The sequence below is a fragment of the Homo sapiens genome, chromosome 2 (assembly GCF_000001405.40).
Source record: "Homo sapiens chromosome 2, GRCh38.p14 Primary Assembly".
NCBI lineage: Eukaryota > Metazoa > Chordata > Mammalia > Primates > Hominidae > Homo > Homo sapiens.
The window spans coordinates 30,712,467-30,725,462 of NC_000002.12; the positions used below are offsets into that span (position 1 = coordinate 30,712,467).

The following is a 12,996-nucleotide window of genomic DNA, read 5'->3' on the forward strand; positions in this document are numbered from 1 at the left end:
CAGCCTCCCAAAATGCTGGGATTATGGCATGAGCTACCATGCCCGGCCTATAATTTTTTATATTACATTTTCCTTATTCAAATTGCTGGTGTGATTTTTGTCTCCTGACTGGACTCTGTCTGTTATATAGTAGGTGTTTTAAAATAATAGTTCACCTTCTCTCCACCTCCAGAAAAGCTTTTTTTTTTTTTTTTTTTTGAGTCTTGCTCTGTTGCCCAGGCTGGAGTGCGGTGGTGCGATCTCGGCTCACTGCAACCTCTGCCTCCTGGTTTCAAGCAATTCTCTTGCCTCAGCTTCCCAAGTAGCTGGGATTACAAGCTATGTTGCCACACCTAGATAATTTTCATATTTTAGTAGAGACGGGGTTTCACCATGTTGGTCAGGCTGGTCTCGAACTCCTGACTTCAAGCAATCTGCCAGCCTCAGCCTCCAAAAGTGCTGGGATTACAGGTGTGAACCACCGCACCTGGCCCAGAAAAGCATTTTTACATATGTCATTTAATGACAAGGGAAAATTACCACACACCGCCAGAAACTATGGCAGCTCTGGAGTTTGCAACCCCAACTTGAACAAATGACTTCCTCCTTTGAGGGCTCGCAGAGTGTGACCATTGCATACTTCCTGGTCATGGTCTGGGGAAAACCATGAGGAGTAAGGGTGAGGAAATCAGCAAAGCCTCACCCAGCATTTTAGTGGTGGGCATATTGGAAGGCACCAAGGTCTTCTGTAGAAACCATGCAGTACGGACAGATGACATTTGGAGAAAGACTCATAAACACAGACCAAACACGGGTGATAAGAAACAGGATTCAAGTGGCAGAAAGCCCAGCACCTGTAGTCCCAGCTACTCGGGAGGCTGAGGCAGGAGAATGGCGTGAACCCAGGTGGCGGAGCTTGCAGTGAGCCGAGATCGCGCCACTGCACTCCAGCCTGGGTGACAGAGCGAGACTCCATCTAAAAAAAAAAGAATAATGTGGAACTCAGGAAAGACTCAACAAGCTCAGCCACTATGTCCCCAGCCATGTTAAACCGTGAGCACTTGTGACCTGTGGGGGAGGTTCTAAAGCCTCAACCCATAGCTTCCCTTTCCACCCTTTGTAGTTTGTGGGGTGTACATATAGGCAGTAAAATGTGCTAAGAAGAACCCATCTGCATTGTTCTTTAGAGATATCTGAACCCTACAGACCCCAGCAAGAGGGCAAGATTCTGTTGCACAAAGTGGGCAAAACCAGGTGAACTGCCCCCTGCCACCAATAGAAAGTCAGCTCCCCCAGGCTTCTCTCTGGCTGGTTTTGTTACTTTCTCCTACCTTGGCAGCTGAAATGGAGGCAGCCCTTGGCTGTAACATCCATGGTTGATGGCCTGGCTGTGTGGTCCTGCCTCGCGGCTGCGTGGAACTGAATGTGTGGACAGGGATGTGCATAATCATCCTGGGTGGAACCCCAGGGTCCCAGTGCTGGACCCTGGGGTCCTAGAGCTGCTCCTACCTGGTATGGATATCCTGCTCTCCACCTGGGCCTAGGACTCCCAACTATAAGTCATAAGCCATGGCAGGGTCTCAGAGAACAAGGGAATTAGAAGGAAGGACTTTAGGGGTCAGGCCAAACCCACAATTGGAGAAGCTGACTAAGGTCAGACAGAGAGGCAGTTGCAAGACTAAGATTACAACCGAGGCCCTGCCCTACTCACACTATGGGTTAATGTTGCCAATTTAGCCATAGGGAGGGCCTGACTTCCGGCAAACTCCTGGCTTGCAGTGCTGAGCAGCAGGGCTGAGCAGTAATTAGTGGAGATGACCACTAGGTGTCACTGTCGCACCATTATCTGCGGCTGCACAGTGGCCAGATTTTTTTTTTTTTTTTTTTTTTTTTTTTTTTTTTTTTTTTTTTAACCTCCCCAAAACATGTGAACGCTGGCTTAACCGCCAACCTCAGGTAGGTGAAAGGGGTTTTTAATTTTCATTGTCACAAGCATCATAAAAGAAGCAGCAACTCCCAGGCTAAAGAAGGGGAGGACTGTTTTGACTTACTGCCCCAGAGAGCATGGGTCTCAGCAGAGCTGCTGTTGCTGAATTGGAGGGGCTTTTTTCTGGCTGTTAATTGCTGCCCCTCGCTGATGATTGCGGAGTAGAATCTGTTAGGACGTGGATCTCCAAGTCTGTGACATGGAAGGAACCTTAGAAATCTGCAAGTCCAGCCCCTTCATTTTTGGAGAAGGAAGCCCAGAAGAGAAGGCCATTTCCCTAAGGCACACAGCTTGATGGAGGCAGAACCGGGACTTGAACCTTAGACTCCAGAGTTCTCACCCAGTGCTCTGTTCTCACCCAGTGCTCTGTCCACTCCCCCGTGGTGCGTATCTTTACACCACATGTGCTCATTCATTCACTCCCTTAACATCTATTGAGCACTTACTCCAGGCTCAATACATGGGTAGTGAAGTTGCAATGGCTCTAACAGAGGCGAAATTGATTTTATTTGTCAGGCTGCGAAATGGGAGAACTGGGCTCTAGGAAAGCCCTTTAGGCGTAAGCCATGGCAGAGTCTCAGAGAACAAGGGAGTTAGAAGGAAAGAATTTAGGGGCCAGGCAAAACCCCCAACTGGAGAATCTGACTAATGTCAGACAGAGGCAGTTGCAAGACTGAGAATATAACCTAGGCCCTGCCCTACTCACACTGTGGGTTAATGTTGCCAATTTAGCCATAGGGAGGGCCTGACTTTGTGGTTGAATGGAAATGGAAACTCTTAAAGAGGCAAGATGACGTGGCATGTCAGTGACCAGAGATCACAAGTGGGGCCAGTTTCCTTCCTTTTGGTCCAGAGTACTTGTCAAGCTCATCCAATCTTTATGCAAACAACAGCAAAAGTGAGACTAGGATTCAGACCAAGATGAAGTCAGGTGAAGATGATGGAGCTGTGGCAGCTTGGATGGTGCATGCTCCTGCTGGGCTGCCTGGATGCTCCACCTTCTGTGGCCCACACTGGATACTGATTGAATGGGCAGGAATCTTTGGACCTTGGAGGATTTGAAGCTGCAACAATTCTGACCATCGGGGACAGTGTTTTACCACATTCCACTTGGTCAAAGAGCCTATCCTCCAAGGCAGAAAAAAGAAAATGTTTTTTAAGGGAACAGAGAGGTGTTTAAAATAAGAGTGTTTAAGTATAGAAAAGAGAAAGATAACATTACCCTGGACTTAACATTGTCCTCTCAAAGGCAGTCATTTTATCGTCTTGCCTGTCTCTTCTCTGAGTGGGTATATCACTGACACAGCTGCAAAATTTTCCATGTCGGCCGGGCGTGGTGGCTCACGCCTGTAATCCCAGCACTTTGGGAGGCCGAGGCGGGTGGATCACCTGAGGTCGGGAGTTCCAGACCATCCTGGCCAACATGGTGAAACCCCTGTCTTCACTAAAAATACAAAAATTAACTGGGCGTGGTGGCTGGCGGGCGCCTGTAATCCCAGCTACTCGGGAGGCTGAGGCAGGAGAATCACCTGAACCCTGGAGACAGAGGTTGCAGTGAGCTGAGATCGTGCCACTGTACTCCAGCCTGGGCAATGAGAGCAAAACTGTCTCGGAAAACAAAAACAAAACAAAACCAAAATTGTCCATGTGTCTAACCACCTTTCACATGACCCTTCTCCTATGATCCAGAGTTTCTCTGAGATTTAGAAGTCCTCTGGGGGCATTTGGTGGCCTCAGAAAGGATGGTTTAGAGTCTGGCTAGAGATGGCCCATCTGTGCAGCCCCAAGCCCGTCCACCCTCCCCTCCTCTGTCCTCCACCAGGCGGCAAGGTCGCGCCCATTACCCATTCTGCACCCGTCTTCTCAGATACAGCTATCACCTGCTTTGCTGCAGCCGGGTGCCACTGCTGTACTCATTATTGACCATTCTGCTGAGATATTAAGCACTTTGGCTTGGCTGGAGGATTGTTAATCAACAACCTTGTCAGAGTGATGGATTCTTTTAAGATTATTGCTTAATTAGCTTGTTTAGAGGTAAAAATCAATGAGGACATCAGTTCTCTGGGAACTGGGAGGTGGTAGAAAGGGATCTTGGTGACATCCCAGGGAGCAGAGTGTGGTTGTGGTGGGACGGGTAAGAAGCCTCTGAACACAGTAGGCCTTAAGCTTGCATTCATTAGGGATCTCACAGTCACCCTGGTTGGTGCAGTCTAGAGAATTGCCACCAGTCAGCGAAGTTGCAAAAGCGGTGATTCCTGAAATGTCACCCAAGGACTATGTGCCGTCAGCTGGGGAGCTTTAAAATCACAGATCCCCAGGGCCAGCCCCAGACCTTCTGGATTAGGATCTCAGACAAAATTGTAAACAAGTCACTCAAGGCAATTCCTACATATATAAATGTTGAAACTCACAGCCTCAGAAGTCTGAGATGAACAGAGGTAAACAATTCTGATGGCGTTGGGCAACTAAACATTTCCACTGGGAATGGATTTCACGTGGCTGGGCTGTATCGCCAATACTCCTACCAGCACCTGTGGCCCCAGTCTTCTTCCTTCTGTTTTAGTCTTCCTATTTCTGTCGTATCCTCTGTCTCTCCCATCTAATTTGTCTGTATTGCTCCTGGCCATGCCTCATCTATCTGTTCCTCGTCTGTCTAAAGTTTCCTCCCTTCCTCAGGTCCCCATTTCCATCTTTTTGTCTTTCTATCTCTCCTTCCATTTTCGTCCTCTCTGTGCTGGCTGTTGTCTCTTGGCACCTGGCAGCTTTTACACCACTTTCTATATTCTCTCCTATTTGGCAGGGGCTGGAAGCCTGAGAAATACCCTTGCCAGGACAGATCCAGGTACATTTTAAGTCCCACCCTTGAGATACATGTGGGTGACATTTGGAAGGCAGAAGAGAGGCAGAAGGCATATGATTCTGCCTCCAGCAAGTTGTGCAGTCAGGTGGGTTTCAGCAGATGTGAGGTTTTGTCTTGCAAGTCACTGGTGTTAGGCTGCAGGAGGTCAGGACCATTACTGGCAGCTCCCTGTAGTGTCTGGCTTGGGTAGCAGTAGCAGCTTCTTGGTTCTCTTAAGGCTAGTGGTGAGCCTGGGAGTCAGTGGTGACCTTCCTGGCCTTTGCTCCTTTAACCAATCCAACAGCTTTTTAAGTGCCTCATTCCTTAGACTAGATCCCTTCCTTCTTGAAATACCTTGAGTGGTTTTTTTTGTTTTTTTTTTTTTTTCCTGACTAGACCTGGCTGATACACTTTGCTCCTTCCTCACCATTTAAACTCTTTCGCTAGTCTGTATGCACATGTAGCTGCTGTCTGGAACCCAGCTGCCCTGGAGTGAGTGTGTGTGTGCACACGTGCTGTCAGATGGCTACCTCACTGGGGTAACCCCCAGCTCCAGGGAAGCAGATCAGTCCTTTCCTCTGCTCTACCGGGCACCAGCCTAAAGTCTAGTTGCTGGAGAGGCCACAGTAACCGAATCAGGGGACTTATGCTTCAATCTTGTATCTGTCACTTCTTTTTTTTTTTTTTTATACTTTAAGTTCTAGGGTACATGTGCACAACGTGCAGGTTTGTTACATATGTATACATGTGCCATGTTGGTGTGCTGCACCCGTTAACTCATCATTTACATTAGGTATATCTCCTAATGCTATCCCTCCCTGCTCTCCCCACCCCATGACAGGCCCCAGTGTGTGATGTTCCCCATCCTGTGTCCAAGTGTTCTCATTGTTCAATTCCCACCTATGAGTGAGAACATGCGGTGTTTGGTTTTCTGTCCTCGTGGTAGTTTGCTGAGAATGATGGTTTCCAGCTTCATCCATGTCCCTACAAAGGACATGAACTCATCCTTTTTTTATGGCTGCATAGTATTCCATGGTGTATATGTACCAAATTTTCTTAATCCAGTCTATCATTGGTGGACATTTGGGTTGGTTCCAAGTCTTTACTATTGTGAATAGTGCCGCAATAAACATACATGTGCATGTGTCTTTATAGCAGCATGATGTATAATCCTTTGGGTATATGCCCAGTAATGGGATGGCTGGGTCAAATGGTATTTCTAGTTCTAGATCCTTGAGGAATCACCACACTGTCTTCCACAATGGTTGAACTAGTTTACAGTCCCACCAACAGTGTAAAAGTGTTCCTATTTCTCCACATCCTCTCCAGCACCTGTTGTTTCCTGACTTTTTAATGATCACCATTCTAACTGGTGTGAGATGGTATCTCATTGTGGTTTTGATTTGCGTTTCTCTGATGGCCAGTGATGGTGAGCATTTTTTCATGTGTCTGTTGGCTGCATAAATGTCTTCTTTTGAGAAGTGTCTGTTCATATCCTTTGCCCACTTTTTGATGGGGTTGTTTGATTTTTTTCTTGTAAATTTGTTTAAGTTCTTTGTAGATTCTGGATATTAGCCCTTTGTCATATGAGATTGTAAAATTTTTCTCCCATTCTGTAGGTTGCCTGTTCACTCTGATGGTACTTTCTTTTGCTGTGTAGAAGCTCTTTAGTTTAATTAGATCCCATTTGTCAATTTTGGCTTTTGTTGCCATTGCTTTTGGTGTTTTAGTCATGAAGTCCTTGCCAACTATGTCCTGAATGTTATTGCCTAGGTTTTCTTCCAGGGTTTTTGTGGTTTTAGGTCGAACATGCAAGTCTTTAATCCATCTTGAATTAGTTTTTGTATAAGGTGTAAGGAAGGGATCCAGTTTCAGCTTTCTACATATGGCTAGCCAGTTCTCCCAGCACCATTTATTAAATAGGGAATCCTTTCCCCATTGCTTGTTTTTGTTAGGTTTGTCAAAGATCAGATGGTTGTAGATGTGTGGTATTATTTCTGAGGGCTCTGTTCTGTTCCATTGGTCTATATCTCTGTTTTGGTACCAGTACCATGCTGTTTTGGTTACTGTAGCCTTGTAGTATAGTTTGAAGTCAGGTAGCGTGATGCCTCCAGCTTTGTTCTTTTGGCTGAGGATTGTCTTGGCAATGTGGGCTCTTTTTGGTTCCATATGAACTTTAAAATACTTTTTCCCAATTCTGCGAAGAAAGTCATTGGTAGCTTGATGGGGAGGGCATTGAATCTATAAATTACCTTGGGCAGTATGGCCATTTTCACAATTGATTCTTCTTATCCATGAGCATGGAATGTTCTTCCCTTGTTTGTGTCCTCTTTTATTTCGTTGAGCAGTGATTTGTAGTTTTCCTTGAAGAGGTCCTTCACGTCCCTTGTAAGTTGGATTCCTAGGTATTTTATTCTCTTTGAAGTAATTGTGAATGGGAGTTCACTCATGATTTGGCTCTCTGTTTGTCTGTTATTGGTGTATAAGAATGCTTGTGATTTTTGCACATTGATTTTGTATCCTGAGACTTTGCTGAAGTTGCTTATCAGCTGAAGGAGATTTTGGGCTGAGATGATGGGGTTTTCTAAATATACAATCATGTCATCTGCAAATCAGGACAATTTGACTTCCTCTTTTCCTAATTGAATACCCTTTATTTCTTTCTCCTGCCTGATTGTCCTGGCCAGAACTTCCAACACTATGTTGAATAGGAGTGGTGAGAGAGGGCATCCCTGTCTTGTGCCAGTTTTCAAAGGGAATACTTCCACTTTTTGCCCATTTAGTATGATATTGGCTGTGGGTTTGTCATAAATAGCTCTTATTATTTTGAGATACGTCCCATCAATACCTAGTTTATTGAGAGTTTTTAGCATGAAGTGCTGTTGAATTTTGTCAAAGGCCTTTTCTGCATCTATTGAGATAATCCTGTGGTTTTTGTCTTTGGTTCTGTTCATATGATGGATTACTTTTATTGATTTGTGTATGTTGAATCAGCCTTGCCTCCCAGGGATGAAGCCCACTTGATCGTGGTGGATAAGCTTTTTGATGTGCTGCTGGATTCGGTTTGCCAGTATTTTATTGAGGATTTTTGCATCAATGTTCATCAGGGATATTGGTCTACAATTCTCTTTTTTTGTTGTGTCTCTGCCAGGTTTTGGTATCAGGATGATGCTGGCCTCATAAAATGAGTTAGGGAGAATTCCCTCTTTTTCTATTGATTGGAATAGTTTCAGAAGGAATGGTAGCAGCTCCTCTTTGTACATCTGGTAGAATTCGGCTGTGAATCCGTCTGGTCCTGGACTTTTTTTGGTTGGTAGGCTATTAATTATTGCCTCAATTTCAGAGCCTGTTATTGGTGTATTCAGGGATTAGACTTCTTCCTGGTTTAGCCTTTGGAGGGTGTATGCATCCGGGAATTTATCCATTTCTTCTAGATTTTCTAGTTTATTTGCATAGAGGTGTTTATAGTATTCTCTGATGGTAGTTTGTATTTCTGTGGGATTGGTGGTGATATCCCCTTTATCATTTTTTATTGCATCTATTTGATTCTTCTCTCTTTTCTTATTAGTCTTGGTAGCAGTCTATCAATTTTGTTGATGTTTTCAAAAAACCAGCTCCTGGATTCACTGATTTTTTGAAGGTTTTTTTGTGTCTCTATCTCCTTTAGTTCTGCTCTGATCTTAGTTATTTCTTGCCTTCTGGTAGCTTTTGAATGTGTTTGCTCTTGCTTCTCCAGTTCTTTTAACTGTGATGTTAGGATGTCACTTTTAGATCTTTCCTGCTTTCTCTTGTGGGCATTTAGTGCTATAAATTTCCCTCTACACTCTACTTTAAATGTGTCCCAGAGACACACTGTATCTGCCACTGCTAATGGCATGGCCACCTCTTCTCGGGGCCTCAGAAATCTCATCTGGACACCTTGCTTCCATCATACGATGGCTTTAGTAGCAGAAGCTCTAGGGAGCCTGGGGGGCAGGTGGGATTTGTGCCTGAGCCTTTGTCATTTGCTCTGTGAGGGATCCCACCCCTCCATCTGGGCACCAGCCATGGTCCTTGCTCACCTCCTCATCTTGCAGAGACAAAGCAACCCATCCCAGGACCCAAGTGTAAGAAGCTGGCAGGGGCAGGGTTTGTCTGAGATCGTCAGCCTGTCAAGCCCGCCCTGCTCTGGAGCCCTTTCTCAACTTTGGCTGAAGGACATGGGGAGTCCCAAGGAGATGCAGCCTCGGGGTGAGCTGGCTGGTCTGCCCTGTGCTGGGGCTAAGGATCAAGGTCCTGCCCTTCCCTGGGGAGACTGGAATATAATCTCCCCCAGCTCCAAGCAGGGAAGCCCAGGCCCCTCTGCCGTGGCCACCTGGAGCCTTTCTGAGCCTTCAGAGCCCCAGCATGACAGGGAGAATCAGTTTTTCAATCAAGCAATTGAGGACCCTGCCCCTTTAAATCCTGTTAAAGAGAAAATTAATGACTGGTCCCTGAGCAAAGCCCTGTGAGGGAAGAAATTGCCCTGTATCCTGAGAACACCAGTCCAGCCTGTGCAGACCCCTGGGGCTGCTCACCACTGACCCTAGGCCTGCAGAATCATCCATTTCTGCTTGTCCTCCAGGGTGCAAGCAGGCCCAAAAGGAGCTTGGAATGACATGTGGTTGTGGCAGCAAATTGTGCAGGTGGGCTGGACTTTCTACCTGGATGCCTGGGTGAAGGTCATCTTTGAATCCTGCAGGAAATGGCTTATTCATTCTTATGGATTTTCCCACTTATCAGAGTCTCTGTTGACCTGCCAGCCCCAGTTTTTTTGCATGCAGAAAATCTTATGCAACAGGGCAGTCTGACAGCCTAGGATTCAGGATCTTTAGATATTAGCTTTAACTCCAAAGTCCATGCTCACAAACATGGGCATCTATCCTGGCTAACCAAGCAGGGGACTGGGAGGCAAAGTGACCTGTCCCAAACTTTGCTGTGTGTCTGACCCTCTCGCTATTCAAAAGCATTAGCAAGAGGGGTTCAACTCCTTAGGCAGGTAGCTATTCTACTTGAAATGACTGTGGAGGCTTTACAACAGTCCCTGTGGATGAGGTCACTTGGGCCTGTTTGGTACTTGTATACAGCATGCCATCACTGCCGAGCACTGCCCTTGCTCCTGGCATGGGTGTGTGTGTGATGATGCAGCCCTGTCCACACCATCCTGTCCTCCGACCGTGCCACTCAGAAAGTCACACTCAGCAAGCTTCCCACCTTCCTGTCCTTTTGACACACCCATTTGCAACGATTCCCCTACTGGGTTGATGCATCCAGAAATGAGCTTTCCAACTGCAAATTCTTCTGAGCGGGATCTGGCCCAGTTATGCTGTGGAATCTCTTCCATCCTCTGTGGGCCTCACCTTTTTGAGACACCCAGTGACCGCACCATGGATGAGGAGAGAGTGAGGGAAGCGTCTGCCTTGCTGGGTACTTTTCCTCTTCCCCAAATGTATTTTTAAGACAGAATATGAATGAGAGACCTTTATGGGAAACATGTTTTATTTTTGCCATTTAGCTGTGAAATCATCAGGATCCAGACATAAGATAGTGTAATTATTCTGCAAACACCCAGTGGACAGCTCTTGTGTCACCCATAGCACCCGAGGGTGGTCAAAGTGGCTCATTCTGGCTCTTCCAAGAAATGAATCCAACTGGTGACAGGGGACTCAGAGACAACTTCTCTTCTCCTTTCCCACAGGGAGACATCTCCTGCTTCCTTTTCCAGGGCAACGTAGGCTGAATACATCCCAAAGTGCTCAGATGAGCTGCTTGGTGGCCACAGGCTTAACTGGGCCTGGGCCAGCCAAGGACCGAACCCAGGCTGTTGGGAGACAGCTTGGACTCTGTTTCATGCAGGGCTGGTTTAGATTTATCACAACCACCATACTGGGCAGCACAGCCTCTTAGAATGAGAGCCAGATTCTTGAGTGATCACTGGGAGCTTGTCCTAGAGAAAGACACGGGGGTGCAAATGCAGAGGGCCAAGGGTGAGTAAAGAAACTCCTTCCTTTGAGTGACCATGGAAGTGGGGCCCCATTCCAAAGATGCTGTTCTGGATCATCCCACAGTAAAGGAAGCACTGGCACTTCCTGCTGGCAAGGCTGACAGACCCCAACGTGCCCATGGCCCCTTAATGGATGACCCTACCCCATTCTTCAAAATTCCTTAAAGGGCACCCCCCCACCTGTCCTGCCCCAAGCTTGAGTTCATATCATAGCCCATTTTAGCACCTTGAGGGCTGGCACTGGAGTGGAGGGAAACTTGGGGGAGAGATGTTCCTCCCATCTCCAGGCAGGTTAGAAGGGCTGAGGCCAGGGGCTGCTATAGTAACAACAGCCCTGAGCTCTGTCCCATCCAAGCTCCAGATGGCTAGCTTTGGACTTCTGCAGAGGAGTGGTTTTTCTCAAGTGCAGGGGGCTTGGAATAAAGTGACATTCGTGCATAGTCATGTTTTCTGCAATAATCAGCCAGCTGCCCTACCCATGGGGTAAAGAGGCCTCAACTCTTCTTCCCTGCCTCCCTCCACCTCTCTTGTCTCTCAGACTACTTGCTAGTTTGCCTATTTTTTTTTCCATGAAAACTCAGTCCAAGATACATGGTTAGAAAATTCAAAGAGTACTACAAGGCACGAAGGAAAAATAGCAGGTTCTTGTCCCATTTCTATCCAAATTCCCCTCCCTAAACTCTTTCTTCTGATGTTTACCTCCATATTTCTAGGTAATGTGCTTATGCAGTTAATTCTTGATTTGTCAATTTTAAATGCCTATTGACTTCTTATGATGCAAGATGGGGTGGGGTTGCTTCTAACCCCCTTTCATGTCTACATCTTCCCTCCTTCTGATATATTTATGTCACATTTTTGTTAAATCAATATTCCATTTGTATTTTATTACAATTATATATGTACTGTTCACTGCTGAGTGAAAAAATACTCTAGGATCACATTTTCTCTCTTCTGTAACTCTTTATTCTTCCAGGAGTTAATAACTACCTCACTTTTTTGTCTGCTTAGTTTAAGTCATTATCCTACTAATTCTTCCAAAGCTCTCCAGCAGAATTTCAAAATCCCTCTGAACATTATTTTTTCTATAATTAAGCAATCTGATCAAAAATTGCTCCCATTTTCCCCAAAGGCCACCCCTCCAGCTCCTCTCGGAATGGCTCACTCTCTTGCTCTGCTGCATAGCGCTGGTCCTTGGACTTCCCTGTCTCTGTCTAGTGTTGGATCTTCTGTTTCCCGGATTCCAACTCTTCCTCCTCCTTGGTTTATGCCCTTGGAGTGTACATGTCGGTTTCCCAGTTGGATACATTTTTCTTCCAAAGCCAGCTCCAGAAGGCTGGACACCCTGGCATCTCAAGGTGCCTGGTAACCACCAGGTGTATGCTTGCCAATGGTGTTGAGTGTTTTCACATCACCAGAGGCACATCCAGACTCACAACTCTCAACTCAGAAGTATAGGAGAGTTTAACTTGAACTCTGACAGTTCCATCTGCCCTGGGGTGTCAGTCTTCAACCGAACATCTAGCCAGGTCTCTCGAAAAGAATTTCTTTTGATGAACAGAATGAGATTGGAGAGATGGATTTACTGGGCTAGAAGTAGACTCATCCTGCAGAAAATGGTTGTTGGTCTCAGTAAGACCAGGGCCACTGTTGTCATATTTCACCTAAATCCTGCAGAATAGGAGAAGGTGGCCCTTTCCTCAAGAAACTGTATTTTTATACAGTGGGAAATTGTTATAAATGACAATTTTGTTAGAATAAGGCATTTTACTGGCATATTGATAGATCAACATGGATGTAGATGACATTAGCTAGACAAACTCTCAGCAGGGTGTGATTTGCCGTGTATTAAACCTCTAGACTCTGAAATCAATTAAAATCAATACAGCCTCAAGTGTCCAAGGAGCACAGAGCAATGAGTTAAGTGTTAGCATTCTTTCAAGTATGAACTTTATATTTAAACATATTTTAACATATTTTAACATAGGTATTGCCTGCAATGTGACAACAAGGCATACACTTTGTTTAAAAGAAATATATATGATGGGAAGAGAGGAAGAGGAGTTCATCCCAGTTGCATATACCTATATCCCAATCTGCTAGGTCAGAGGAGAGCAGATGGGTTGAAGATGAGCCAGAGAGAGGAACAGAAGTATTCTTACAACAAAAGTA

General features: G+C 45.8%; 1 protein-coding gene across 2 annotated transcripts in view, besides 3 other annotated features; it reads right to left on the minus strand.

The window, feature by feature from the left end:
* Positions 2,605-2,664: a silencer, noted in NCBI's record as "silent region_11329". NCBI's record gives its function as "represses an Ori minimal core promoter by ATAC-STARR-seq in GM12878 lymphoblastoid cells {active_cell/tissue: GM12878}" and the evidence as "EXISTENCE:reporter gene assay evidence [ECO:0000049][PMID:35858748]".
* Positions 8,518-9,018: an enhancer, noted in NCBI's record as "H3K27ac hESC enhancer chr2:30943850-30944350 (GRCh37/hg19 assembly coordinates)". NCBI's record gives its function as "activates a minimal SCP1, AML or CMV promoter by ChIP-STARR-seq in primed H9 embryonic stem cells {active_cell/tissue: H9 hESC(primed)}" and the evidence as "EXISTENCE:reporter gene assay evidence [ECO:0000049][PMID:30033119]".
* Positions 9,019-9,519: an enhancer, noted in NCBI's record as "H3K27ac hESC enhancer chr2:30944351-30944851 (GRCh37/hg19 assembly coordinates)". NCBI's record gives its function as "activates a minimal SCP1, AML or CMV promoter by ChIP-STARR-seq in primed H9 embryonic stem cells {active_cell/tissue: H9 hESC(primed)}" and the evidence as "EXISTENCE:reporter gene assay evidence [ECO:0000049][PMID:30033119]".
* CAPN13 (calpain 13) overlaps positions 10,305-12,996 on the minus strand; it is an 84,676-nt gene continuing 81,984 nt past the window's right edge. The window contains exon 23 of one of the 2 annotated variants that reach the window (NM_144575.3): positions 10,305-10,770. The gene's annotated coding sequence lies outside the window, so the exon portion shown is untranslated. Of the gene's footprint in view, positions 10,771-11,767; positions 12,432-12,996 lie in introns of those variants that run through there. The other variant, XM_047446332.1, reaches the window with a different exon arrangement.